Source organism: Homo sapiens, chromosome 11 (assembly GCF_000001405.40).
Source record: "Homo sapiens chromosome 11, GRCh38.p14 Primary Assembly".
In the NCBI taxonomy this organism is placed as follows: Eukaryota; Metazoa; Chordata; class Mammalia; order Primates; family Hominidae; genus Homo; species Homo sapiens.
The window spans coordinates 278,061-303,640 of NC_000011.10; the positions used below are offsets into that span (position 1 = coordinate 278,061).

General features: G+C 61.7%; 3 protein-coding genes across 13 annotated transcripts, besides 10 other annotated features; 2 read left to right on the forward strand and 1 right to left on the reverse strand.

Moving 5' to 3' along the window:
• NLRP6 (NLR family pyrin domain containing 6) lies at positions 347-7,328 on the forward strand. 3 transcript variants are annotated; one of them, NM_001276700.2, is made up of 8 exons: positions 347-538; positions 1,267-1,547; positions 1,774-1,812; positions 2,024-3,779; positions 4,645-4,737; positions 6,170-6,340; positions 6,415-6,582; positions 7,106-7,328. In NM_001276700.2, the coding sequence occupies exons 1-8, from the start codon at positions 510-512 to the stop codon at positions 7,242-7,244; spliced, it is 2,676 nt and encodes an 891-aa protein (NP_001263629.1). In that variant the 5' UTR covers positions 347-509; the 3' UTR covers positions 7,245-7,328. The 3 variants fall into 3 exon arrangements, 2 of the variants coding, with proteins under 2 accessions (NP_001263629.1, NP_612202.2); NM_138329.2 differs by having other exon boundaries at positions 510-538; positions 4,642-4,737; XR_930848.2 differs by lacking the exons at positions 6,415-6,582; positions 7,106-7,328 and having other exon boundaries at positions 4,642-4,807; positions 6,170-6,253.
• Positions 1,647-2,197: an enhancer, noted in NCBI's record as "H3K4me1 hESC enhancer chr11:279707-280257 (GRCh37/hg19 assembly coordinates)". NCBI's record gives its function as "activates a minimal SCP1, AML or CMV promoter by ChIP-STARR-seq in primed H9 embryonic stem cells {active_cell/tissue: H9 hESC(primed)}" and the evidence as "EXISTENCE:reporter gene assay evidence [ECO:0000049][PMID:30033119]".
• Positions 2,278-2,347: an enhancer, noted in NCBI's record as "active region_4258". NCBI's record gives its function as "activates an Ori minimal core promoter by ATAC-STARR-seq in GM12878 lymphoblastoid cells {active_cell/tissue: GM12878}" and the evidence as "EXISTENCE:reporter gene assay evidence [ECO:0000049][PMID:35858748]".
• Positions 3,301-3,390: a silencer, noted in NCBI's record as "silent region_2991". NCBI's record gives its function as "represses an Ori minimal core promoter by ATAC-STARR-seq in GM12878 lymphoblastoid cells {active_cell/tissue: GM12878}" and the evidence as "EXISTENCE:reporter gene assay evidence [ECO:0000049][PMID:35858748]".
• Positions 5,807-6,576: an enhancer, noted in NCBI's record as "H3K4me1 hESC enhancer chr11:283867-284636 (GRCh37/hg19 assembly coordinates)". NCBI's record gives its function as "activates a minimal SCP1, AML or CMV promoter by ChIP-STARR-seq in naive H9 embryonic stem cells {active_cell/tissue: H9 hESC(naive)}" and the evidence as "EXISTENCE:reporter gene assay evidence [ECO:0000049][PMID:30033119]".
• Positions 9,713-10,242: an enhancer, noted in NCBI's record as "H3K27ac-H3K4me1 hESC enhancer chr11:287773-288302 (GRCh37/hg19 assembly coordinates)". NCBI's record gives its function as "activates a minimal SCP1, AML or CMV promoter by ChIP-STARR-seq in naive H9 embryonic stem cells {active_cell/tissue: H9 hESC(naive)}" and the evidence as "EXISTENCE:reporter gene assay evidence [ECO:0000049][PMID:30033119]".
• Positions 10,243-10,772: an enhancer, noted in NCBI's record as "H3K27ac-H3K4me1 hESC enhancer chr11:288303-288832 (GRCh37/hg19 assembly coordinates)". NCBI's record gives its function as "activates a minimal SCP1, AML or CMV promoter by ChIP-STARR-seq in naive H9 embryonic stem cells {active_cell/tissue: H9 hESC(naive)}" and the evidence as "EXISTENCE:reporter gene assay evidence [ECO:0000049][PMID:30033119]".
• Positions 10,243-11,185: a biological region, named in NCBI's record as "H3K27ac-H3K4me1 hESC enhancer GRCh37_chr11:288303-288832".
• Positions 10,656-11,185: a silencer, noted in NCBI's record as "silent region_2992". NCBI's record gives its function as "represses an Ori minimal core promoter by ATAC-STARR-seq in GM12878 lymphoblastoid cells {active_cell/tissue: GM12878}" and the evidence as "EXISTENCE:reporter gene assay evidence [ECO:0000049][PMID:35858748]".
• PGGHG (protein-glucosylgalactosylhydroxylysine glucosidase) lies at positions 11,066-18,047 on the forward strand. 9 transcript variants are annotated; one of them, XM_017018355.2, is made up of 14 exons: positions 11,066-11,179; positions 11,735-12,015; positions 12,330-12,540; positions 12,618-13,053; positions 13,916-14,035; positions 14,486-14,617; positions 14,826-14,937; positions 15,103-15,175; positions 15,306-15,442; positions 15,534-15,667; positions 15,770-15,865; positions 16,039-16,136; positions 16,207-16,418; positions 16,496-18,047. In XM_017018355.2, the coding sequence occupies exons 2-14, from the start codon at positions 11,757-11,759 to the stop codon at positions 16,687-16,689; spliced, it is 2,214 nt and encodes a 737-aa protein (XP_016873844.1). In that variant the 5' UTR covers positions 11,066-11,179; positions 11,735-11,756; the 3' UTR covers positions 16,690-18,047. The 9 variants fall into 9 exon arrangements, 8 of the variants coding, with proteins under 8 accessions (XP_016873844.1, XP_011518686.1, NP_079368.3 ...); XM_011520384.3 differs by having other exon boundaries at positions 16,261-16,418; NM_025092.5 differs by having other exon boundaries at positions 11,744-12,015.
• Positions 11,196-11,255: a silencer, noted in NCBI's record as "silent region_2993". NCBI's record gives its function as "represses an Ori minimal core promoter by ATAC-STARR-seq in GM12878 lymphoblastoid cells {active_cell/tissue: GM12878}" and the evidence as "EXISTENCE:reporter gene assay evidence [ECO:0000049][PMID:35858748]".
• On the reverse strand, positions 20,140-21,466 carry IFITM5 (interferon induced transmembrane protein 5). Its single transcript, NM_001025295.3, has 2 exons — positions 21,245-21,466; positions 20,140-20,653 (listed from the first exon to the last, which is right to left on the reverse strand). Exons 1-2 carry the CDS (start codon positions 21,428-21,430, stop codon positions 20,441-20,443), a joined length of 399 nt encoding a protein of 132 aa, NP_001020466.1. The 5' UTR covers positions 21,431-21,466; the 3' UTR covers positions 20,140-20,440.
• Positions 20,637-20,796: an enhancer, noted in NCBI's record as "active region_4259". NCBI's record gives its function as "activates an Ori minimal core promoter by ATAC-STARR-seq in GM12878 lymphoblastoid cells {active_cell/tissue: GM12878}" and the evidence as "EXISTENCE:reporter gene assay evidence [ECO:0000049][PMID:35858748]".

Sequence of the window (25,580 nt, forward strand, 5' to 3'; positions counted from 1 at the left end):
TGGGGAGGCTGCAGTGCAGACCCCTGCCCGGCGTCTCCCTGGAGACTGCCTTCCCTCCCATATATGGTGCGTGCTGCTGGCTGTCCCCCCTGTTCCCTCTACCTGGAAGTCTTTCCTCACCCCTGCCTTCAGAGTCTAACCTCTCCCCAGGCCTCAGCTGAAGGCCTGGCTCTGAGCCAGCCACCTCCTTCACACAACCCACCTTGCTCTGAAGCTGCCTGCTCACAGCCATGCCCCGATGCCACACCCAGGGGTTCTTGGGGAACATTAATGGGATAAAGGAGTAAGAAAATCAAAGGTCACCAAACGGAGCCCTTAAAGGGCAATGCTCTGCGTGTGCCACGGTGCCCAACAGCATCTCGTGCCAGCTGAGCTGCGGTGTGTGGACCCGGGGAATGGACCGGGCTGGACAACCTCTAAGACTTGGCTCCAGCTCAGCCTGTGAAGGAATCACCTCTCTGATCCCCACCTCTGCCCCGGAGTGCTAGACCCAGGGAGGAAGAGACCCCATGGACCAGCCAGAGGCCCCCTGCTCCAGGTGAGTGCTGGCCCCAGGGTGGTCACTGGGAACCGGCTGGTCTCAGCCCTCTGGGGCCTCCACCTCACCCGCTGACTTCCTCAGGCTCTCCACCCTTGTCCACATCCTTCCCCCACCCTCACTCCCAGGCTCAGGAGCCAAGCACTGCCTCCCCACAGAGGGCATTTGTGGAGTCTGTTCCCCACCAGGGGCTCAGATTCAGGCCCTGGTGCAAGGCCCCAAGCTGGGCCCCACCAAAGTGTGGCAGGGGTGGGGGCCCAGGAATACAGCCTGGGCCTGGCAGTGTCTGCTGCCAAAGAGGCCAGTTCTGCTCCGGGATCGGGAAGAGAGGGAAAAGAAGGAAAGCGAGGAAAGAGAGCTCAGGGTTCCTTGGAAATACCTCCCTCGGGGCATGTGACCTGTCCTGGGGTGTGGAAGGACAGAAGCAGAAAGGGAGGTGCAGGGGAGGAAGGTGCCCCCCAGAGCTCAGATCAGCGGCGGCCAGTGCCCACTTCACCCTCAGAGGGCGAAGAACACCAAGACGCCCCGACCCGGGTCCGGGGACGGGGGAGGGAAAAGTCTGGGGTCACTCCCCGTTGCCCCCTCCCGCCACCCCATGGATCCAGACGATGCTTGGCCCGGGACTCCCTGAGGCCCTGCCCGCGGTGGGTTCTCCGGCGCCAGAGTCGGGGGCGGGCGGGGGTCACCCGAGGGCCGCTCCCCGATGACCCGCGCCCGCCCGCCTCCAGCACGGGGCCGCGCCTCGCGGTGGCCCGCGAGCTGCTCCTGGCTGCGCTGGAGGAACTGAGCCAAGAGCAGCTGAAGCGCTTCCGCCACAAGCTGCGCGACGTGGGCCCGGACGGACGCAGCATCCCGTGGGGGCGGCTGGAGCGCGCGGACGCCGTGGACCTCGCGGAGCAGCTGGCCCAGTTCTACGGCCCGGAGCCTGCCCTGGAGGTGGCCCGCAAGACCCTCAAGAGGGCGGACGCGCGCGACGTGGCGGCGCAGCTCCAGGAGCGGCGGCTGCAGCGTGAGTTCTGCGCGGGAGGTCCCTCCTGTCTGGGCAGAGGCTGGGCTGCCCTCCTTCCCGCTTCCCGGAGAAGCCCCGGCGCGGTCCCCGGCCCCCGCGCGTTTTATCCACAAATTCGCGGGCCCCAGGGGTAGGACCCTGCGTGCTCCTCAGGGTGACTCGGACCCCCGTGGCGCCTTCCCCTGTTCCCGCCCTCGGCGGAACCTCACCCCAGTTTCCCTTCCAGGGCTCGGGCTCGGCTCCGGGACGCTGCTCTCCGTGTCCGGTGGGTCTCTCGCTGGGGGGGCACGAGTGTCCCCAACCCCACTTGGAGGGTCCCGGGGAGGACCGGGGTGGGAGGGCCGCCAGGGGCGTGGGCTGTGGTCCCGTAGAGGAAACTGAGGCCTGAGCAGGGCCGGGGAGGGCGTGGGCTCCCGGAGGGCGCAGCCTGCCCCACCTCCGACCCTTGTCCCCGCGCTGTCTCCCGCTGCGCCCAGAGTACAAGAAGAAGTACCGGGAGCACGTGCTGCAGCTGCACGCTCGGGTGAAGGAGAGGAACGCCCGCTCCGTGAAGATCACCAAGCGCTTCACCAAGCTGCTCATCGCGCCCGAGAGCGCCGCCCCGGAGGAGGCGATGGGGCCCGCGGAAGAGCCTGAGCCGGGGCGCGCGCGGCGCTCGGACACGCACACTTTCAACCGCCTCTTCCGCCGCGACGAGGAGGGCCGGCGGCCGCTGACCGTGGTGCTGCAGGGCCCGGCGGGCATCGGCAAGACCATGGCGGCCAAAAAGATCCTGTACGACTGGGCGGCGGGCAAGCTGTACCAGGGCCAGGTGGACTTCGCCTTCTTCATGCCCTGCGGCGAGCTGCTGGAGAGGCCGGGCACGCGCAGCCTGGCTGACCTGATCCTGGACCAGTGCCCCGACCGCGGCGCGCCGGTGCCGCAGATGCTGGCCCAGCCGCAGCGGCTGCTCTTCATCCTGGACGGCGCGGACGAGCTGCCGGCGCTGGGGGGCCCCGAGGCCGCGCCCTGCACAGACCCCTTCGAGGCGGCGAGCGGCGCGCGGGTGCTAGGCGGGCTGCTGAGCAAGGCGCTGCTGCCCACGGCCCTCCTGCTGGTGACCACGCGCGCCGCCGCCCCCGGGAGGCTGCAGGGCCGCCTGTGTTCCCCGCAGTGCGCCGAGGTGCGCGGCTTCTCCGACAAGGACAAGAAGAAGTATTTCTACAAGTATTTCCGGGATGAGAGGAGGGCCGAGCGCGCCTACCGCTTCGTGAAGGAGAACGAGACGCTGTTCGCGCTGTGCTTCGTGCCCTTCGTGTGCTGGATCGTGTGCACCGTGCTGCGCCAGCAGCTGGAGCTCGGTCGGGACCTGTCGCGCACGTCCAAGACCACCACGTCAGTGTACCTGCTTTTCATCACCAGCGTTCTGAGCTCGGCTCCGGTAGCCGACGGGCCCCGGTTGCAGGGCGACCTGCGCAATCTGTGCCGCCTGGCCCGCGAGGGCGTCCTCGGACGCAGGGCGCAGTTTGCCGAGAAGGAACTGGAGCAACTGGAGCTTCGTGGCTCCAAAGTGCAGACGCTGTTTCTCAGCAAAAAGGAGCTGCCGGGCGTGCTGGAGACAGAGGTCACCTACCAGTTCATCGACCAGAGCTTCCAGGAGTTCCTCGCGGCACTGTCCTACCTGCTGGAGGACGGCGGGGTGCCCAGGACCGCGGCTGGCGGCGTTGGGACACTCCTGCGTGGGGACGCCCAGCCGCACAGCCACTTGGTGCTCACCACGCGCTTCCTCTTCGGACTGCTGAGCGCGGAGCGGATGCGCGACATCGAGCGCCACTTCGGCTGCATGGTTTCAGAGCGTGTGAAGCAGGAGGCCCTGCGGTGGGTGCAGGGACAGGGACAGGGCTGCCCCGGAGTGGCACCAGAGGTGACCGAGGGGGCCAAAGGGCTCGAGGACACCGAAGAGCCAGAGGAGGAGGAGGAGGGAGAGGAGCCCAACTACCCACTGGAGTTGCTGTACTGCCTGTACGAGACGCAGGAGGACGCGTTTGTGCGCCAAGCCCTGTGCCGGTTCCCGGAGCTGGCGCTGCAGCGAGTGCGCTTCTGCCGCATGGACGTGGCTGTTCTGAGCTACTGCGTGAGGTGCTGCCCTGCTGGACAGGCACTGCGGCTGATCAGCTGCAGATTGGTTGCTGCGCAGGAGAAGAAGAAGAAGAGCCTGGGGAAGCGGCTCCAGGCCAGCCTGGGTGGCGGCAGGTGCGTCTCCAGGGCAGAGATACTCTCTTGTGTGTGAGGTGTGTGTGCCGGTGCAAACCTGTGCACCTCAGTGTCCATCTGGCATGGGGCGCACCTCCAGACCAGACCCTGGCTCCCCAGATGGGGAGGCTTTGACCACCTCCTTGCAAGGCAACCACTGAATTCCTATCTTCTTCCCCAGGGTGTCCTCACCATGCCCACCGTCAGCCACCCACAACCTATGAAAACTTCCTAGTATGGCCCTACAGCTCTGGCCCAGCCCTTCTTCCCATTTTACTTTCTGACAATAAGCTCTGGAACACACGATGCCCTCTGTCCAGAGCCTCTGCACTTGCCCTTCCCTCCACCTAGAATATTCTGTTTGCTGCCTGTCCTGCAAGTCTGCCCTGGCTCCCCCAGCTGGCTGGGGACCCAACTGGCTCCAGAAGTACCCTTTCGACCACCCTGCTGTGACATCTGCCCCACACCTCCACCAGACCCTCGGCTCCTCCAGGGCAAGGCTTTTGCCAGAGTTCCTTTGAATATAGCTCCAATTCAGCCCCTGCCCAGGGGCTTGGCATCTGTTGAGAGGATGAATGTCACGGTGTTGGCAGGGGCTGGGCCTGGGGACCCAAAGACCCATGTAGAGGATGTGGGTGATACCGTCCCACTGACCTCACTCAGACACCCCAGTGGGATGATGCCTGGGCCACAGATGAGTGGTTTTGCTCTGGGTTTGGTTGGGGGAGTGTGAAGGGGGTGGCTCAGCAAGGAGGTGAGGAGGAGGGGCAGCTCTGAGACCCCAGGACTACAGATAGACAGGAGTCCTTTCCGGCAGGCACTGTGAGGAGCAGGGTGGGCTTCACCTTCCTCTCTCTCCCAGCAGTTCTCAAGGCACCACAAAACAACTGCCAGCCTCCCTTCTTCATCCACTCTTTCAGGCAATGACTGACCCACTGTGCCATCTGAGCAGCCTCACGTGAGTGGCCACACCCCCAGCTCTTCCCACGGAGCGGGCTGAGAGCAGGATGCCCTGGGCAGAGACGGAAGTATGACCTAGGAAAGAAGGCTGAGGGGTCAGACCAGAGCCTGAGGCCTGTGGGTGCTGGAGATGGCAGGCTCTGCCCACACAGAGCAGAGGGAGGAGGGGATGAGGGTCTGGGGCTTCATTACCAGGTTAGGTACTGGTAGGAAAAGGTTGGTCCTGGTGAGTGGAAAGCAGCTAAGCACACTGAGGGAGGGATTAAAGAAGACAAGAGTGTATTTTCCTTCTGAAGGGAGGCTGCCGTTGGAAACTGCTGGGTTCTCAGAAGCAGTGGAGGAAGGTGTTCAAGCGCAGGCTCCAAGGTCAGGCTGTCTGCAAATGCTAGCCGGCTTCTGCGTGCCCAGTAGCAAGTCCATCTGTCCGAGCTTCCATTTCCTCCCCTGTGAAATGGAGCCAGTAGATCCAGAGAGTTGGGGTGAGATTTAATGTGGCTACACATGTACAGTTCTTTTTTTTTTTTTTTTTTTTGAGACGGAGCCTCGCTCTGTCGCCCAGGCTGGAGTGCAGTGGTGTGATCTCAGCTCACTGCAAGCTCCGCCTCCCGGGTTCACGCCATTCTCCTGCCTCAGCCTACTGAGTAGCTGGGACTACAGGTGCCCGCCACTACGCCCGGCTAATTGTTTGTATTTTTAGTAGAGACAGGGTTTCACCGGGTTAGCCAGGATAGTCTCGATCTCCTGACCTCGTGATCCACCCGCCTCTGCCTCCCAAAGTGCTGGGATCACAGGCATGAGCCACCGCGCCCGGCCACATGTACAGTTCTTACATGGCAATAACTTGCCAGTCACTCTTAGCTACCACCAAGTGAGCAGAAAGGAAGAGGAAATCTAGGAACTAGTACTGATGGTGAAACAGGTCCATCCTACGTTGATGGCAACTCGGCAAATTAGCTTGATATGGGGGTGGGGGATTTGGCAATCTGGAGATAAACATAAGAACCAAAAAGGTGATCACATTTGGCCCAGCAATTCTGCTGGTAAAGTAAGATGTTCAGCACACCATTATTTATAATGGAAAAAAAAAAAAGGAGAAACAACACAACTACCCAACCATTAGGGAATAGCGGACTAAATAAACTGAGTTGGCCACCTCATCTTGGTGGACGATTGTGCGGCAAACATGTTGAAACACGTCTCAGCTCTCCGAAGAGCTCGTAGAGAGTGTCGCAGGGAGAAATGAACACAGCTCCCCGGGGGTGCATGGTGACAAAGGGCAGGGCAGGCTCTGCGAGGTCCAGGGAAGGATGTGGCACCAACACATCTCTCAGCTGAACCCTGGGCCACCGGGCAGCGGGCATTTTGTGCAGTTGGAGGTGGTGTGGTGGCTGAGGCGCCTGCAGGTAAATCTCTGTGCTTCTTGACCACAGGCTGTCCCACTGCAAACTCCCTGACGCGGTCTGCCGAGACCTTTCTGAGGCCCTGAGGGCAGCCCCCGCACTGACGGAGCTGGGCCTCCTCCACAACAGGCTCAGTGAGGCGGGACTGCGTATGCTGAGTGAGGGCCTAGCCTGGCCGCAGTGCAGGGTGCAGACGGTCAGGTGAGGCCTGGCCTGGGAGGGACCGTGGGATGCCCCCGCCACCCCAGCAGCTCCTGAGGTCGGCCCTCCCACAGGGTACAGCTGCCTGACCCCCAGCGAGGGCTCCAGTACCTGGTGGGTATGCTTCGGCAGAGCCCTGCCCTGACCACCCTGGATCTCAGCGGCTGCCAACTGCCCGCCCCCATGGTGACCTACCTGTGTGCAGTCCTGCAGCACCAGGGATGCGGCCTGCAGACCCTCAGGTGGAGGCAGGGGTGGGAAGGGTGCTGGGGACACAGCCTGTCAACCCGGGGAGGGGGAGGGTGCCTGGGGGCTCCCCCTGGACCCTGAAGAGGGGCCCCTCCCAGAGACCTCCCATGTGACTGAGCTCAAACACTGACCTGGGAGCCCAGCCCTGACAGCCCTGCCCTCTGAAGCCCTGGCCACAGCTCGGGGCCTTGACCACTTTGTCTGACCAAATGTTCATCTGTTGTCTGGTGCCCATGGCAGCACCCTGGGCCAGTGGCCCCGATACCCTTTTGCCACCCCCAAGGTCCGGCCTCTGCCCCCTCCCCCAGCCTCTGACAAACCTCTCAACTGACACCACCTGTCCCTGAGTGTCTGTGGCACAGCCAAGCTGACAGCCCAGTCACTGCCCGCAGCCCGGCCACCCCCACGGCACTGCCCGTCACTGCCCGCGGCCCGGCTGCCCCCACGGCACTGCCCCCAAGCCCTGGCTGCTTTCCCCCACCGCTGACCCCGCTTCTGCTCTGCGTGTGGCTGCAGTCTGGCCTCTGTGGAGCTGAGCGAGCAGTCACTACAGGAGCTTCAGGCTGTGAAGAGAGCAAAGCCGGATCTGGTCATCACACACCCAGCGCTGGACGGCCACCCACAACCTCCCAAGGAACTCATCTCGACCTTCTGAGGCTCTGGTGGCCAGAGCAGGGTGGAAGACCCTAGTCAAAGTCCCTGTGGAGAGAACGGCCCATTCCAAGGGCAGGAGGATATTGCTCTCGGCCTTTGGGAAACTTTTGAGCCGAGAGGCCGCAGACAGGCATGTGGGAGGCCCAGACACGGCACCCTGCCCCGTCCAGGACAGGCCCAGGACCTGCCCCTCTCTCCACACCTGGGGTACCCCTTCTCCCCCAGCCCCACCACTACTCCACCCACCTTCCTCTCCTGAGACCCTCCAGCCATTCCCCTTGAAAACACCCCCCGACCCCAAGCCACAATAATGACAGCGAGAGCTCCAATTAACTAAGCACCTACCTGGGGGCAGAATAACCCTTCACTGCCTGATCCCCATCTGCAGTGTGGCCCAACAGCCCCCAGAACTATGCCCACATAGACTGGAGGTAGGCAGTTCACCGTCCCTCCCTGTTAGGAATGAGACCATCCCTGAGGCTATGGCCCAGGCCCACAGGCGTCCAGTGTCTGAGATCTTTGGGAAGGGAGACTAGGGCAGGTGGAGACAGCGCAGAACCCCCGTGCTGGGTGGGAAGCATGACCACACGGTGGGTGAGCAGCCCCCATGCACTGATGGTAAATTCCCCTGTGGACTCATTTCTGTTGGTTTCTATTACACCTGGCCAGGCGTGGTACAATACAGGTCGGTGCTCACAATCTTTCCAGCATTCCACTTTCACAGGGCAGGATGGTGGCCCCCGGTTCCCCAGTGAGGAAAGTGAGTCTCAGGGGGCAGCCTGACTGCAGAAAGTGCTGCGACAGGGGCCCTGATGGACAGGACCCGCGGCGGACAGTCCTCGAATCCTGGAGTTTTCTCTGCTCAACCCTGCTGGGCTGCTGAGACTCCAGTCTGAGTGGGGAGGTGGGGGGAGACTCTGGATTCAGCCCCATCACTGCCCAGGGGAAATCCCCTACTATAATCCACTTTCTAACTCCATTTCTTCATTTCACAAAACACAAAAACCCCTGTCCTCCTAGAGCTGACATTCTAGGTAAGAAGACAAACACCTATATGATACACAGTGTAATACAATAAATATATATACGATACATACACAACACATATGTGATACACAACGCAATAGCACAAGTACGTATATTATATGTATACGTGTGCCAGGTGTGGTGGCGCATGCCTGTGGTCCCAGATACTCAGGAGGCTGAGGCAAGAGTTCGAGGCTTGAGCTTAGGAGTTCGAGGATGCAGTGAGCTATTAGGTTGGTTGGAAAGTAAGCAAAAACCGCAATTACTTTTGCACCAACCTAATATGATTTTGCCACCACACTCTGGCCTGGGCCACAGAGAGAGACCCCATCGCTAATAAGTAATAAATAAATGTGTATCTGATACATAACTACACACCACAATCAATAGGCCTGTGATGTGGCCGGGCGCGGTGGCTCAAGCCTGTAATCCCAGCACTTTGGGAGGCCGAGGCGGGTGGATCACGAGGTCAGGAGTTCGAGATCATCCTGGCTCACACGGTGAAACCCCGTCTCTACTAAAAATACAAAAAAATTAGCCGGGCGTGGTGGCGGGCGCTGTAGTCCCAGCTACTCTGGAGGCTGAGGCAGGAGAATGGCACGAACCCGGGAGGTGGAGCTTGCAGTGAGCCAAGATCGCGCCACTGCACTCCAGCCTGGGCGACAGAGCGAGAGTCTTTCTAAAAAAAAAAAAAAAAAAAAAAAAAAGGCCTATGATGCATCAACAAGTAACAATGTAATAAAGATTCAGAGGCGGGGCGGATAAATGCTGCGGAGGAAAGTTAGGCAGAACCAGGGGCTGGTGGGAATGGATGGAGCGCAGGGTTTCCTGTTGCATGAAACGGGGGTCTGAGGAAGTCTAACTGACGACTGGGCATTTGAAAACCCGAAGGAGTGAGGGGGCAAGCCCCAAAGAGGTCTTGAGAAAAAGGGCTTCAGGCAATTATGCTGCCAGAGCAAGCCAGGCGGGGAGCTTGGAAAGCTCCAGAAGCAGCAAGGAAGCCAGGTAGCGACAGCGGAGTAGGGGAGGGGGAGGAGATGAGGTCAGGGAACCCAGGCAGGTGCAGGAAGGGGTTTGCGGGTGGAGCTTGCGTGCTTGGAAAGCTCCAGAAGCAGCAAGGAAGCCAGGTAGCCGCAGCGGAGTAGGGGATGGGGAGGAGATGAGGTCAGGGAACCCAGGCAGGTGCAGGAGGGGGTTTGCGGGTGGAGCTTGCGTGCTTGGAAAGTTCCAGAAGCAGCAAGGAAGCCAGGTAGCCGCAGCGGAGTAGGGGAGGGGGAGGAGATGAGGTCAGGGAACCCAGGAAGGTGCAGGAGGGGGTTTGCGGGTGGAGCTTGCGTGCTTGGAAAGTTCCAGAAGCAGCAAGGAAGCCAGGTAGCCGCAGCGGAGTAGGGGACGGGGAGGAGATGAGGTCAGGGAACCAAGGCAGGTGCAGGAGGGGGTTTGCGGGTGGAGCTTGCGTGCTTGGAAAGTTCCAGAAGCAGCAAGGAAGCCAGGTAGCCGCAGCGGAGTAGGGGAGGGGGAGGAGATGAGGTCAGGGAACCCAGGCAGTTGCAGGAGGGGGTTTGCGCCGGGTGGAGCTTGCGTGAGGAGCGCTTTTGGATCGTCCTCCGTGAGTTGGGCGCCATGGCTGCCTTCTGGGCAGAGTGCAGGGCCTGCCTTAAATGTTGTGGGGGTTCTGTTCTCAACAAAGGCGTAAGTTGGGAGCGACTGAGCCACTCCAGGAGGAGGTGTGGGCCCACGGCGTGTTGGAGGTGGAGCCACAGGACCTGTCCATAGGTTGGATGCTGTGTGGGTGACAGAGAGAAACCGGGGCTCACGGCCTGGGCAGCGGGACGGGCGGAGTCGTCCTCACCTGTGCTGGGGACCCTGTGGGAGCAGCAGGCTTCCGAGCACGTGCTGGACCCCGGCGTCTCCGGCTGCACCGAGTGGTCAGGACATTGAGGCCGGGTCAGGGAGCGTGAGATACCGGGACGAGCGGGCCCAGGGCTGAGCCCAGCGGCGTCCGGGTGGGCGGTGGCGTTGAGATGGGAATTGGGAATTGCACCGGTGGTCTCAGGAGGATGGAAAACCCAAGCAGCAGCTGCACCAGGACCGAGGCAAAGGGACCGCAGTTTAACAGAAAACCCAAAACGAGAGCGAGAAAACGGCCAAACACCCGTGCGAGTGAGACGTCCATGAGCCTTCCCGGCAAAACGCCCAATAAGGGAGAAGGGGCAGGCGCGGCGGGGGCCGGGGTTCCCTGAAGTCCCCTTCGTTTCCAGAATCCCTAAAGATCATTCCGCCCCCCAGGGAGGAAACCCAAGCTCCGCCGAGCGCGGCGGGTCTGTGCCTTCGCTTCGCTTCCAGCCTCTCGCTTCCTTCTGACCCGACCCCGAGTTCTTTCTCCGGACGGTGTCGAGAACCCGGGCGCCGGCTGGGGCTGGAGTCTCGCTGGCCTCGGAGCGCCCCCGAGCCCTCGGGCGACAGCGAGGCGAGGACCCAGGTGGAGGCGGCCGGGGGCGCGGGCGGAGGGAGGAGGCGCGGGAGGGAACCCCCGGCCCGCGGGCCCCACCCACAGCCGCCCCGGGACGCAGCTCGGGGTCCAGGCTCGAGCTTTGCTCACTCAGGGCGCTTCGTGCAGGGAACGCCAGGCCCCCGGACGCGACCCACGCGGCCGCTGCCAGCGGGGACCGAGGGGAGCCGGGGCCGCGGCCGCGAGTCCACGTCCCGCCCCCGGGCCCGGCCCAGCGACCGCCCCCGCCGCCCAGGGACCGCCCCCGCCTCCCAGCGACCGCCCGGGCCCTCGGGGCGGGGACCGCGGACCTTCCTGGTGGCGCGGCAGCCGGGCGGCTCCTCCTTCCTCCCGGCCCTGGCGTGGAGCAGAGGGACACAGGTTCCCACGCTGGCGCCCGGCGACCGGGTGGGGCTGCGGTGAGTCCCAGAGGCCCCCGCCCCGCAGCTCCCGGCCGCCCCGGCCCGTCCCCCCAGCCCCCGGTCGCCCCATCCTCCCTCCCCCACCCGCGCCTGCCCCAGCCGCCTACACCCCCGAGACCCCCACCCGCCCGGCGCCCCGGCAGCCCCGGACTCCCTCCCCCATCCCGCCCAGCGCTCCCCCCACCCTCCACACACGCCCGCCCCCACGTGCCACCAACAGACGCAGGTCCCGACCACAGAGGGTGGGGGCAAGACCGGGGTTGTGGGGGGTGCGTTTGGAAAGCAGGGTTAGGACTGGAATTCTAAGGTAGCAGGAGGGAGAGACACACTCAGGGGCTCAGCTGGGTTCCTGGAGATCAACCTTTGGGGTCTGAGCCCCTCTGAGAGTCGAGCTCCTTTCCTGCGAGGCCCCGTCTAGGAGGGGCCTCAGGAAAATCGGGGCTGCCCAGCTGGTTCCGCAACTCCCCCCAGTTCTGAGGGAGGCTTCAGGGGATTACAGACGGTCTCAAGAGGGAGGCCCAGCCAGTCCCGCGGCCCCTGACACCCCATCAGGCCGCTCAGGCCCAGCAGCTCCATGGAGGACGCCGGCGAGGACCCCACCACGTTTGCTGCCCACTCTCTGCCCAGTGACCCCCGTCTCTTGGCCACTGTGACCAACGCATACCTGGGCACACGAGTGTTTCACGACACGCTGCACGTGAGCGGCGTGTACAATGGGGCTGGCGGGGACACGCACCGGGCCATGCTGCCCAGCCCCCTCAACGTCCGGCTGGAGGCCCCTGCAGGGATGGGGGAGCAGCTGACCGAGACCTTCGCCCTGGACACCAACACAGGTAGCGCCACCTGGCCTGCCTCACCCCTGCCCCAGGCATTGTTCCAGGTCGGTGGGGCAACCACAGCATCGAATCCCACCAGCACCTCCTGAGTTTACACAGGAAGTCTCACTAAGACAGGAGGCCCCAGAGGCCCGCAGGGTCCCCCCTTCCCTCCACCTGGAGGCCTCCTGTGCAGCTGTAGCGGGAACGAGCAGCCGAGGGCCCAGAGGGATCCGCCTCATTGTGGGGAGAGGCAGCGGTCGGGTGGTCCACTCCTGCCCCAGAGAGGCCATAGCTTGGCAACCCACCTGCCTTCGCTTCTGCCTCCCCAGGCTCCTTTCTTCACACCCTGGAGGGCCCCCGCTTCCGGGCCTCCCAGTGCATCTATGCGCATCGCACGCTGCCCCACGTGCTGGCTTTCCGAGTGTCCATCGCCCGCCTGGCCCCGGGGAGCGGGCCCATCACGCTGCTCCTGCGGTCAGCCTTCTCCCCAGAAAGCCCAGACCTGGACCTGCATCAGGGTCCTGACTTCCAGGGAGCCCGGTAAGGAGGGGGCTGGATTTGCAGCCAGGGAGTCCAGGGAGGGAGCTCATCCCTGAGGCATGGCCACGCTCTCACAGGTACCTGTATGGCCACACCCTCACCCCTGAGCAGCCCGGGGGGCCACAGCAAGAGGTACACATGCTGTGGACACCAGCACCCCCAGACCTGACCCTTGGGGAAGGTGAGGAGGCTAGGACGTGGGACTTCCTGACAGCAGTGGGCGGCAGCCAGGCTGAGGCTCAGGCCTGCCTCACTGAGGCCCTGCAGCTGCAGGCCAGGGGAGCTCTGTATACGGCTCACGCACAGGCCTGGGCCCAGCTCTGGGTAGAATGTGGCTTGGACGTGGTGGGGCCCCTGCAGCTGCGCCAGGCCCTGCGTGGCTCCCTCTACTACCTGCTCAGTGCCCTGCCCCAGCCCAAGGCCCCAGGATACATCTGCCATGGCCTCAGTCCTGGGGGCCTCTCCAATGGGAGCCGTGAGGAATGCTACTGGGGCCACGTCTTCTGGGACCAGGTGAGCACTGTACACCCAGCACCAGCCACACAGCAGGCGACACATGGAGGTCCACGGTCTCTGCCCTCCCTGGGACCAGGGCTATGGTTGGGGAAGCACAGGGACTGTGGCAAAAGGGAAGAGGCCTGGAAGGTGTGCAGGAGTTTGGTAGAGGAGTGATCTAGGTGAGGGGAATGGAAGGTGCAGAGACCAGAGCTGAGAGGGCCTGAGGCACTTTCCAGAGCGTGGGGAGGGGCCTCCACCAAGGCGAGAAGGGCTGCAGGTCCAGATCACCAGCGTTTGTAGACAGTAGTGTGGCGCTTGGAGTTTACCTGAGGGCCAGTGGAGCTCCAGGGACCTATCAGGACGGGGACCTGTGGGGACTGGGAAGGCCTGTGGGGCTGCGTGGAGCCCGGTACTGGAGGCCGACGGGGGTGACGGGGACGCTGAGGGCACAGAGCGGAGGGGCATGATGGCTGCTGGGCGTGGAGGTGTCGAGAGTGACTGTGCTGGGGCTGCTCCATCGTTGTCTGAGCCTCCCGGTGCTGCCGCTGTGGCCGTTTCTTTGATGAGGCTCTCAGAGGCCGAGTCATTCACTGCCAGCCTGAAGCTGCCCATGCGCATATTCGGGCTGGAGCCTCTGAGGCCACACAAACGCCGGCTGGGGAGGCGAAGTGTGGGGCTGAGCACCAGAACTCCAGGAGCGTCTGGGCTGGAGACAGAACTGGGTGGGCAGGTGGGGAGGGCCTGCAGATCTGAGTGGGCAGCCGAGGAGGAACCCAGAAGACGCCAGCGATGGAGCTCTGCCGGGGCGGAATGTGGCCAGGAGGGGCGGGAGCAGTGACGGCCTGTCCGGCGCTAGAACGAGGGACCGTGCTCTCAGGACCTCTGGATGTTCCCGAGTATCCTGATGTTCCACCCAGAAGCCGCCAGGGCCATCCTGGAGTACCGCATCCGCACGCTGGACGGGGCCCTGGAGAACGCCCAGAACCTGGGCTACCAGGTGAGGGGACCTGGGGCACTGGCCCGTAGGGCCCTGCAGGGCCTGCAGCCCCCACACCCCTCCCAGGCCTGTATCCCTCTCCCCAGGCCCCCTCTGGACAAAGCTGGGACATCCTAGATTCCCCACCCTGAGGCTTGTGGGGCCTCAGCAGTGCCCTGCAGCCCGCACCTGAGAGAGAGGAGGTGGGAACCGCAGCGGGCTGGGACCCTGCTTTGGCCCAGGACCCCCTGGGGTGCCCTTGCTGCCCTGCACCAGGGTCAGCACTCGGTGAGAACTGGGCAGAAGCCACCTGGCCCCGTGAGGACGTGCAGTGGGCCTTCTAGCAGTAGCACCCGCCAGGGTACCTGGCGCAGGCCGAGCCCCCCCTCCTCCAGGGCGAGGGCACGGGAAAGTTGGGGGGCCACCGCTCCCCTCCAACAAGGTCAAGTCTGCCCCCTCCCAACCCCTCAGGGAGCCAAGTTTGCCTGGGAGAGTGCAGACTCCGGCCTAGAGGTTTGCCCTGAGGACATTTACGGAGTCCAGGAGGTCCACGTCAACGGGGCCGTGGTGTTGGCCTTCGAGCTGTACTACCATACCACCCAGGTGAGGTGCTGCGTGCCCACCATTCCTGCAAGTGTGGCCAGGCAGCTGGTGTAGCCCCCACTCCTCGTGGCTTCCTGTTTGGGGCTGGTCCTGGGAAGCTGGCTGAGGACAGGTGTCTCAATGCCAGGCCTTGCTTCTGGGCACAGACAGGCCACTAGGAATGAGAGTGACTGGGGCCCTGGCCTCTGTGCCTCCTCCTGCTCCCCAGGACCTGCAGCTATTTCGAGAGGCTGGTGGCTGGGACGTGGTCAGGGCTGTGGCCGAGTTTTGGTGCAGTCGTGTTGAGTGGAGCCCCAGGGAGGAAAAGTACCACCTGAGGGGTGAGGCCATGGTGGGGAGGGGCTCGGGGAGGAAGGGTGGATGCTCCCAGACTCAGCAGATGATTTTCAGACACCTCACGTGTGCCAGCCCCACGCTGACCACCGGCGTGGAGGGAAGGCCTCTGAGACTCTGCACTGAGCACCATCTTGGACTTGTGTGTCCAGGAGTCATGTCCCCCGACGAGTACCATTCAGGGGTCAACAACTCTGTGTACACCAACGTCCTGGTCCAGAACAGGTCAGACACAAGATCCCCTCACCTCACCCCACCCCCGCCCCAGCTGGAGACCTGCCCCGGTGCCCCCACTAGGCAGGCAGCAGCTGGAAGTGTAGGGGTTGCAGCCTCCCCCACCTACCTCCACCTCCAGCCTGCGCTTTGCTGCTGCCCTGGCCCAGGACCTGGGTCTTCCCATCCCCAGCCAGTGGCTGGCGGTGGCTGACAAGATCAAGGTACCCTTTGACGTGGAGCAGAACTTCCACCCGGAGTTCGATGGGTATGAGCCTGGTGAGTGGACCCCTTCAAGGGCTCCTCCCCTGCCGTCGAGACCCTCGAGTCTGTCCTGGAACACCTTCCAGTCAGCGGCACCTCCCTGTAGGAGAGGTGGTGAAGCAGGCAGACGTCGTGCTCCTGGGATACCCAGTCCCCTTCTCCCTGAGTCCTGATGTTCGCAGGAAAAATCTGGAGATTTACGAGGCTGTGACGTCCCCCCAGGGCCCCGCCATGACCTGGGTGAGCACCCTGGGGCTGTGGAGTTCCTACCCCATTGGCCTCAGTCTTCTCTGCCCACGCAGTGGGCCTCACCCCTGTGTGTCCTCTTACCTCTGACCCCAGAGCATGTTTGCTGTGGGCTGGATGGAGCTGAAGGACGCAGTGCGGGCCCGGGGCCTCCTGGACAGGAGCTTTGCCAACATGGCTGAACCCTTCAAGGTCAGCCTGGCCACACCTGCCTCCCACTGGGCCCCTTGTGGTGGGAGTGGAGCCCAGCCTCAGAGCAGGCACAGCAGGGTGCACCCCTGGAGCTTCCTGCCGGATCTTGGGACAGCAGCCCAGAGAGGACGGTGACCTGGGGGTCCTGGTGTCAGCTGCCCTTGCCCCTGCAGGTGTGGACGGAGAATGCAGACGGGTCAGGCGCTGTGAACTTCCTGACAGGCATGGGGGGCTTCCTGCAGGCGGTGGTCTTCGGGTGCACGGGGTTCAGGTAAGTGCAGAGGCTGGCAGAGGGCAGCCCATGCCCCCACCTGCCACCTCACAAGCCTCTCCTCCCACAGGGTCACCCGAGCGGGTGTGACCTTTGACCCTGTGTGTCTGTCGGGGATCTCCAGAGTGAGCGTCTCCGGCATCTTCTACCAGGGGAACAAGCTCAACTTCTCTTTTTCCGAGGACTCCGTGACCGTGGAGGTCACAGCTCGAGCAGGGCCCTGGGCTCCTCACCTGGAGGCTGAGCTGTGGCCATCCCAGTCCCGGCTCTCCCTGTTGCCAGGTAGAACAGCCCCCAACAGCCCAGGTGCCTGCGACCCCAGGCTGCCCCTCACCCCCAGGCTGCCTCTCTCCCTGCAGGACACAAGGTCTCCTTTCCCCGCTCGGCTGGCCGGATACAAATGTCACCCCCGAAGCTGCCTGGAAGTTCCAGCTCCGAGTTCCCTGGGAGGACTTTTTCAGATGTTAGGGACCCGCTCCAGAGCCCCCTCTGGGTCACCCTGGGTTCCTCCAGCCCCACCGAGTCACTCACTGTGGACCCTGCCTCTGAATAATCAGGAACGGTGGCTTCAGAGACGTCTCTTGGGCCTTCCCTCTGGCCACGTCTGCACCCACCCCTCCTGGGCACCCTCCTAGCCTGCCATCCCTCACCTGCAGCCAGGCTCTCAGGGAAGGTCCATGCTGCTTGGCCTGAGTTCAAGGCTTTCTGCCTGTAGCCTGGACTCCCGTGGACCCCCGTGGGCAGGTGGCTTCCCCGTGGCATCTCCACACCGCCTCTGCCTGCCCCTGTGGACTGATGCTATCGCGCACCGTCCCACGACCCCACCCCGAGCTCCTGAAGCCGGGGTCTGAGCCTGCATCACCTCTGGCCTCTCATCCCCCACTCTCCTGAGAGCAGTGGTCACAGCGGCCGGCCGCTCTGCTGAGAAGGCAGAGAGGCAGGCTCAGGCCTCAGCGTGGACAGCAGGGATAAGGGGCACGAAGGACGGGGACTCGGCCCCTTCAGAATTCCTCAGGACTCTCAGGTGCAGCTTTGCCAAAAAGGAACTTTTCATGTCATGCAGTTGAGGGGACTTAGTCTCAATCCCAGGCTCCTCTTGACTCTGGGCAGCTTTAATCAGGTTGGGCAGCCTCTGCTACAGCGTGGGGTGGGATGGCTCTCTTCCCTCAGCCACGCCGCTTGTGAGGACAGAGGTGGGGGAGTGGGAAGTGGGAAGTCACCAGAGAACAGGAGAGGGATTTGAGGGCGAGACCCCAGCGCTCTCCACGGACCAGCCAGAGGGACTGGAGCCAGGTGTGCATGGGTTCAAGGCCCTGGCCCTGCCCAGCCTTTGTCTTGGGAGCTCAGCCCCAGGGTTCGGTCGTCAGCAGTTTCCCAAGAACAAGATGTGATGGCATCTGCTGCTGAAACCCTGATGAGGACCAGGCCCCCTGCACCGCTGTCAGCCTGAGGAATTAAAGCTTTGGTGCTGGGGAGAGCATTATTCCTCTGAGGAGCCGCTGTGCTTCCTTCTGAAGTGAGGGCCGTGCCCCGGGTCCCATTTCTCCTTTCACTTGAGTCGGGAAGCACAGCAACTTTAAGGCTCGCGCCCAGCAACATGGCTCCCCTCGCATCTGCATCTCCCTCCTGCTCTGGTGTTGCCGCTGCACCCTGTCCTCGGAGGACAGCAGAGGTTTGGACGGAGACTCAGGGAGGGAGGGAAGGAGGCAAGGACGCCTGTGGAAACATCTTTCAGGCAGCTCTAGGGTCTGGGGGCCAGGATGCCTGGGTCTCCCAAGGCCTGTCTGCTGTCTCTGCCACCCTCAGCGGCTGCCAGAAGCAGCGTGTGGGGGAGGCATGTGCTGCAGCACACCTGCGGCCGAGACCAGCACTCAGAGGTCGGCTCCCCTGACAGGAACCGTGTAGGGTGCAGAAGGCTGAGACCTGTGGACACTGCGTGTTTTATGGCAGCTTGCTTGCTGGGGCTCATGGCCACAGTGGAGAGGGGCCGTGGGTCAGGGCAGCCCAGTGTGCAGTCCAGTGCCGGGCAGGAGTCTTGCAGGGGCTCATGACCACAGTGGAGAGGGGCTGTGGGTCAGGGGCAGCCTGGCGTGCAGTCCAGTGCCGGGCAGGAGTCTCACAGGGGCTCGTGGCCACAGTGGAGAGGGGCTGTGGGTCAGGGGGCAGCCCGGCATGCAGTCCAGTGCCGGGCAGGAGTCTCGCAGAATGCAGCCTGACGCCTCCACGTGGCTCCCCCGGCCCCTACAGGCTCCCTCAGCTGCAGAGCTGGGTCCCATCCGACGCTGTCGCTGGGCAGCGAGAGGCAGAGGCAGGTTCCCCGAGGGAAGCATGGGCCCCTTCTCCCGGCCACGGTTGCCCCAGCAGGAGTTCATCTTTGCAGCCCCAGAGCCAGGGTGATGTGGGCACAGGTGTCAAGTCAGGGTGGTCGGTAGCCTTGCGCCCGCAGGAGAGATATGGCCTGAAGCCTGCTGCACGTGCGTGCCACACGCGTGTGGGGCCACCTCTGCACATCCTGAGGTGACCCTTTTGGGGGGGTCGTGATGGTCAGTGCACGTGTGCCGGCAGGGCTGGTCAGGGTTCATCGCCTGCCCAGGAGCCTGAGCCTGAGGCAGGGAGGTGCTGGTGACCGTTCCCCCAAGGTGGCTCACCCACAGCACCGGGAATGGACCAGGTCGTCCCTGCCCCTCAGTAAGCCTGGGGACTGGCAGACCGTCTCTTTTCTGGGGACACGTATCCAGCCACACATGGGCTGACCCCCTCCCAGTCTCTGCACCCGACACAGTTTGATCCCTTCTCAGGCCAATCCTGAGGCTCAGGGCTGGCACACTGTCTCTATCCCAAGGCAAGCACAGGTGGGCACACTGCCCTTGTCCTTGGTCCACTGTGGGACTGGTCCTGTCTGTCTCCAGCGCCCAGCATGGCCTCCACACACCTCTGCCTCCAGGGCTGGCTGGGCCTGCCCTCAGAGTCCCTGCCACGCCAGCCGTTGGCTGCAGGCATATCACAGATAGGGGATGCTGCCCAGGGCTCCGAGTAGACCAAAAGATTCCTGCCCACAGCCCAGGAAGAGCAGGCAGGCAACGGCGATTCCCCGGGAAGGGAAGGGCCCCGGAGTGGGGTGCTCAGAACCCTGGGCCACTGTGCTGTTAACCACCACCTCCCGGCAATGGCTGGCCTCAGCGAGGCCCCAGGGCCTCCCCGCAGCCTCGCAGTGTGCATGTCCCTGGCCCTCTCCCATCACCAGGCTGTGGTGGGTGTGTGGGGAGGCTGTGGTACACAACGCAGGTAAAATAATATGAGAACATGCACCCAGCACCAGGGGACTCAGAGAATGTTGCACACATGCCCATTTTCTGCCTTTCTGGATATAGTTTGGTTGGGGTGTGTGTGTGTGTGTGTGTGTGAGAGAGAAAGGGAAGCTGCTATCCTTCCCACATGTGTTTGTGTGTGTGTCCAGCCCCACCCATGGGATCGTCCCCGCCCTGCCTTTCTAGCCACCCTCACTGGCCCAGGAGGGAGGGAAACCACCGTGGGGACTGGGATTTCTCAGAATTAAGGGGGCACGCAGGGTCATGGGGACAGACAGAATGACCCAGAAAGGAAGGAGGTGTACACCAGACCGCAGATGGAGCCCACCCACAGGCACGGACTCTCACGCAGACTTCGAGCACGCACACACATGCGCACAGAGAGATGGGGTGGACACACGTGGGGTTGGGACGCACCCATGATGTTCTGGAGCACAGGCCGCTAAACCACAGAGCAGCAGAGATCAAAGGCCTGGGCTCTCAAACTTAGTCTAAAATACTCTGGGCCTCCGCCCCGTAAGCCACAGGCCGCCCAGTGGCTGAGAGAAGGGGACAGTTGGGGCCAAGCAGGGCTGCTGAGCTGCGGGGGGCGCTCCCGCCACTGACTCTGGGGGCTGGCCCTGTGGCATTTGGCTTTGGTGGTCCCTAGGGCAGCTCCTTCCCCCACGCTAGGCAGGAAAGAGGCCAGGAGGCACTTTCTGGAACCAGGCACTTTTAATCGTGGAACCGAGGGGCCTGGAGTGTGAGGAGGGAGGGGCAGGATCGGGGGCAGAGTTAGGGCCCGGGAACTCTCGGGTTAGGGTGAAGACCCCGGGGTCTGACTGGTTCAGCCTTAGGTGCCCATGTTGGGGCTGGAGGGCCCCAGGATCAGGATGGGGCAGGGATGGAGGCCCCACAGAAGGAGGGCCAGGCTCCGGGGAGTCAGTATTGGGCCCCAGGGGCAGCAGCCTGGGGTCAGTGTCCTGGGGCTAGTGCCCCAGATCAGGACCCAGCCTGTCAGTCATAGTCCGCGTCATCAAACTTGGTGCTGAAGAAGGCGGCAGAGTCCTTGGCCAGCCGGGCCAGGTGCAGGGCACCAGTCACCACCAGCCCCAGGAGCAGCAGTGGCGGCACCAGCGTCCACATCGCGGCCAGGATGTTGTAGCACTTGGCTTTGGAGCCAAAACGCCGGGCCGCTTCCAGGTCACCAACCACCTTCTGATCTCGGGCCTGCAGAGAGACCAGACCACAGGGCCAGATCTCTATGTGTCCTCGGGGCCTGGGGGCCCTTCCCCACCCACACCCTGGGCACCTGGAAGGCCCCTACTGCACCCAAAATCTGGATGGAGGGGTGTGGCCTGAGGAGATACTCCTTGGGGCCCCAGCTATGGACCCGGGGGCCATCCCAGGCCAGTGTCAGCCTATCAGAGCTCTCTATGGGTGAGGGTCCCCCAGGGTGCTGAGACACCCCCCACCCTGCCAGCCAGGAGCTGAAGTCAAAGGGACCTCTGTTCCAGAAGCCCACAGCATGTGAACCCCCTCTTGATTGCAGAGACCTCTGTGGGTGCCTCCCAATGGCCTCTGTGCTCTTGGATGGGCCAGACCCCGTTAAGAAGAGGCCCCCCGGCCTTGCCTTCGTGAGGAGCTCTTTCCCGGCCATACTGATAGCTGTGCCCACAGAGCCCCTCACGGACAAGCAGAGCCCCCCGCGGCCCCCAGCACGGCAAGGACCCCCCACGGAGCTCCCCATCCCTCCCCCTTCCCCCCACCTTGATGGAGTAGTGGAGCCTCCCCCGCAACCTCGGTAGGGCCCCTGCCCACCTTGATGGAGTAGGCCAGCGCCAGGAAGCCGAGGCAACACAGATTCAGGTAGAGGGTGCTGAACACCGACCAGATCAAGTGGTCTCGAGGCGGGGGGTGCGGGGCCCCCAGTGTGAGGGCTGTGTGGGCACCGGCCTTGCTGGGCGTGGGGGCCCGGGTGTCCTCGCGGGGATACGCCGTGTCCATGGGTTCCAGCGCCGTCTCTTCCACACTCAGACTGGTGCTGGGAGGGTGGGCACCCGCTCACTTATAGCCCTGTCGCCCTCCCGGCCCAGCCCCTCAACGCTATATATAACACAAATTACAGCCTGCGGGCCGAGGGTGCGGCCCGCCCCTTAGCCCCCACCCCAGGGAGCCCCTGTCCGAGGCTGCCTTGGACCACCCAGCAGGGTCCCTCCTGACAGACATCCCATCTGGGAGCCCCCCGCTTGGAAGGCTACGGCCGGGCAGTGGCAGAGACCCCCACCCATCCCCCCACCCCCATCAAAGGCTGCTGGCCAAGTGGGCAGTGGGCAGACCACTGGCCAGAGCCCCCTCCGTCCAGGCCAAGAAGAGTTGGAGGTGTCGCCTCAGGGCCATGGGCCTCATAATTCAGGGATGTACAGGAGCCCCCTCCTCAGAACCAGAGCTGCTGAAACTGCAGCCCCTTCATTCCCAGAACTCAACTCTGCCCCTAACACTCTCAGAGCACCAGCGCCAGGCCCTAGGAGCGCAGGCATCCCTGCAAGGGGGACAGGGAGGGCGGCTGTCGGAGGAGGGCGCGAGAGAGAAGGAGAGAACCACATGGGGGGAAAGCCAGGGGGTGCAGCCTGTTAGGAGCCGGCAGGGGAACCCCCAGGGACCAGCAACAGCTGTTAACACTGGTGTCGGGATGCAGGGAGCCTGTGGGCTCCTGTGGTGGACACTCCCCTCAGCCTCCTCGGCTGCCCTCCCTGATCCCAGAATGTCTGTGGTGAGTGGTCCTGTTTAGGGCTCAAGGTCCGCCCCAGTCTTGTCTCTGGCTGTAGATGCCTGTGTGTGCTGACGACTCACATTTATGTCTTCAGCCCAGACTTCCCCCCAAAGACATTGGCTTGGTCCCCAGCTCTGGACACACACACGCAACTCCTGCTCTGTGGACCTCCACCCACGTGCCAACAATAGACCCTGGATCCTCCCTCCCAACCTCCTCTGCCAAGCCTTCCCCGGAGCAGTGGTGGCAACTGCACCGGGCCAGAAGGCTCAGCTTCCCCGTCTCCCAGTCGGCCACACTCCTGAGTGCCCAGGACCAAGCTGCCCTCCCTCCTCCAGGACGCACACTCGCCACCTGCAGGGGATGGTTGGGTGGGGGGTTCCTTGCTGCTGTGCTTGAGCCTGTGAACCCCAAATATCTGAGACAGGTCTCGGTTAATTTAGATTATTTTGCCAAGATTGAGGATGTGCCTGTGACAGCCTCTGGAGCTCCTGAGGATCTGTACCCAAGGTGGTCGGAGCACAGTTTGGTTTTATACATTCTAGGGACACAGGAGACATCAGTCAACATATGTAAGATGAACATTGGTTCAGTCTGGAAAGGCAGGACAATGCAAAGCAAGGCAGGGAAGACTCGAAGTGGGGAGGCGCTTCCCGGTCGCAGGTAGATAAGAGACAAAGGTTGCATTCTTTTGAGTTTCTGACTTGCTTCTCCAAAGGAGGCAACCAGATATATGCATTCACCTCAGTGAGCAGAGGGGTGACTTTTTTTCTTTTGTTTTTGTTTTTTTTTTTTTTTTTGTGAGACAGAGTCTCACTCTGTCGCCCAGGCTGGAGTGCAGTGGCGTGATTTTGGCTCACGGCAACCTCCGCCTCCCGGGTTCAAGCGATTCTCCTGCCTCAGCCTCCCGAGCCGCTGGCACTACGGGCTCCCGCCACCACGCCCGGCTAGTTTTTGTATTTGCAGTCGAGACGGGGTTTCACCATGTTGGTCAGGATGAAAAAAGCTAACTCTGTAAAGTATTTAAAGAGGTTTGTCCTACGCCGAATATGACTGACCACGGCTCATGATACAGCCTCCAGAGTTCCAGCAAACGTGCCAAAGGTGGCTGGGCTACAGCTTGGTTTTATACATTGTAGGGAGACAGAAGTTGCAGGCAAAGACATAGATCAATACAAGTGTCAACGAAAAGAGTCCAACTCTGCGAAATATTTGAAGAGATTTATTCTGAGCCAAATATGAGTGACCATGGCCTGTGGTGCGGCCCTCAGGAGGTCCTGAGAACATATACCCAAGGGGCTCAGGGCACAGCTTGGTTTTATACATTTTAGGGAGACATGAGGTATCAATCAAATACATTTAAGAAATACATTGGTTTGGTCCAGAAAGGCGGGACAACACAAAGCTGGGGGTGGGGGGGGTGGGGGGAGGGGCAGCGGTGTTCCAGGCTATAGGTGAGTTTAAACATTTTCTTGTTGACAATTGGTTGAGCTTGTCTAAAGACTTGGGATTGGTAGAAAAGGAGTGTTCAGGTTAAGATCAAGATTGTGGCCGGGTGCGGTGGCTCATGCCTGTAATCCCAGCACTTTGGGAGGCCAAGGCGGGCAGATCACAAGGTCAGGAGTTCGAGACCAGCGTGACCAACATGGAGAAGCCCCGTCTGTACTAAAAATACAAAATTAGCCAGGCGTGGTGGCGCATGCCTGTAATCCCAGCTACTCAGGAGGCTGAGGCATGAGAATCACTTGAACCCAGGAGGCGGAGGTTGCGGTGAACCGAGATCGCGCCATTGCACTCCAGCCTGGGCAACAAGAGCAAAACTCCATCTCAAAAAAAAAAAAAAAAAAAAAAAAAAGGGCCAGGCGAGGTGGCTCACGCCTGTAGTCTCAGCACTTTGGGAGGCCGAGGCGGGTGAATCATGAGGTCAGGAGTTCGTGACCACCCTGACCAACATGGTGAAACCCCATCTCTACTAAAAATACAAAAATTAGCCAGGCGTGGTGGTGGGTGCCTGAAATTCCAGCTACTCAGGAGGCTGAGGCAGGAGAATCGCTTGAACCCGGGAGGCGGAGGTTGCAGTGAGCCAAGATCAGATCGTGCCATTGCACTCCAGCCTGGGTGACAAAGCGAGAGACTCCGTCTCAAAAAAATAAATAAATAAAAAATAAAGATTGTGGAAACCAAAGTTCTTTTGAAGTCTTATAGTGGCTGCCCTTAGAGACAATAGGTGACCAATATTTCCTATTCATATCTTAATTAATCTCTTCAGGATTGGGAGGGTCTGGAAGAAAAAGATCTGGCTATGTTAACTGAGATTCTTTACAGATGCAAATTTTCCCCCACAAAGAACAGCTATGCAGGGGCCATTTCAAAATATGGCAAAGAAACATGTTTTTGGGGTATTTTGATTTTCTTCCTTGTTTCATAATGTTATGCCAGAGTCAGGTTGGAAAGTAAGTCACGATATATAGGGTTAAATAAAACTCATCTGGTTGGCCGGGCATGGTGGCTCATGCCTGTAATCCCAGCACTTTGGGAGGCCGCGGCAGGCAGATCACCTGAGGTCAAGAGTTCGAGACCAGCCTGGCCAACGTGGTGAAACCTGTCTCTACTGAAAATACAAAAACAAAACAAACAAACGAAAACCAAAACTCATCTGATGAGAATTTACCATTTGTAGGTAAATTCCCCAGACCCCTTTGATAGGAACTTGGGCAAGATAAAAAAGTCAGAGTTTAGTCCTCACGAGTAAGGTGTACATTGCTTCTGCCAGGAAAGGCAAGACATCTCAAAGGGGTGTGGTCACAGGTCACAGTGATACCAGTGGGCTTGGGGAGGTCCCCAATTGCCAGTGGGACCTGGACCCCCACGGGTGTCCAGGCTCTTGGCACAAGAAGAAAATTCAAGGACGAGACCGAAAATAGTGAAAGTAGGGAGATTTGTTGAAAAGTGAAGGCCAGGCGCGGTGGCTCGCGCCTGTAATCCCAGCACTTTGGGAGGCTGAGGCGGGTGTATCACCTGAGGTCAGGAGTTCGAGATCAGCCTGGCCAACATGGCGAAACCCTGTCTCTACTAAAAATGCAAAAATTAGCCGGGCGCGGTGGTGCGTGCCTGTGATCCCAGCTAATCGGGAGGCTGAGGCAGGAGAATCACTTGAACCGGGTAGGCAGAAGTTGCAGTGAGATGAGATCGCGCCACTGCACTCCAGTCTGGGCGACAGAGCGAGGCTCCCTCTCAAAAAAAAAAGAAAGAAAGAAAAAAAAGAGAAGTGAAAAGTACACACTCAAGAAAGGGCCGTGTGGGCGGAGACTCGAGAGAGTCACTTGCAAGGGGTTTGGGTGGGGGTTCCATCTTTCAGGGTTTCTTTCACCAAGCGGGGGAGTA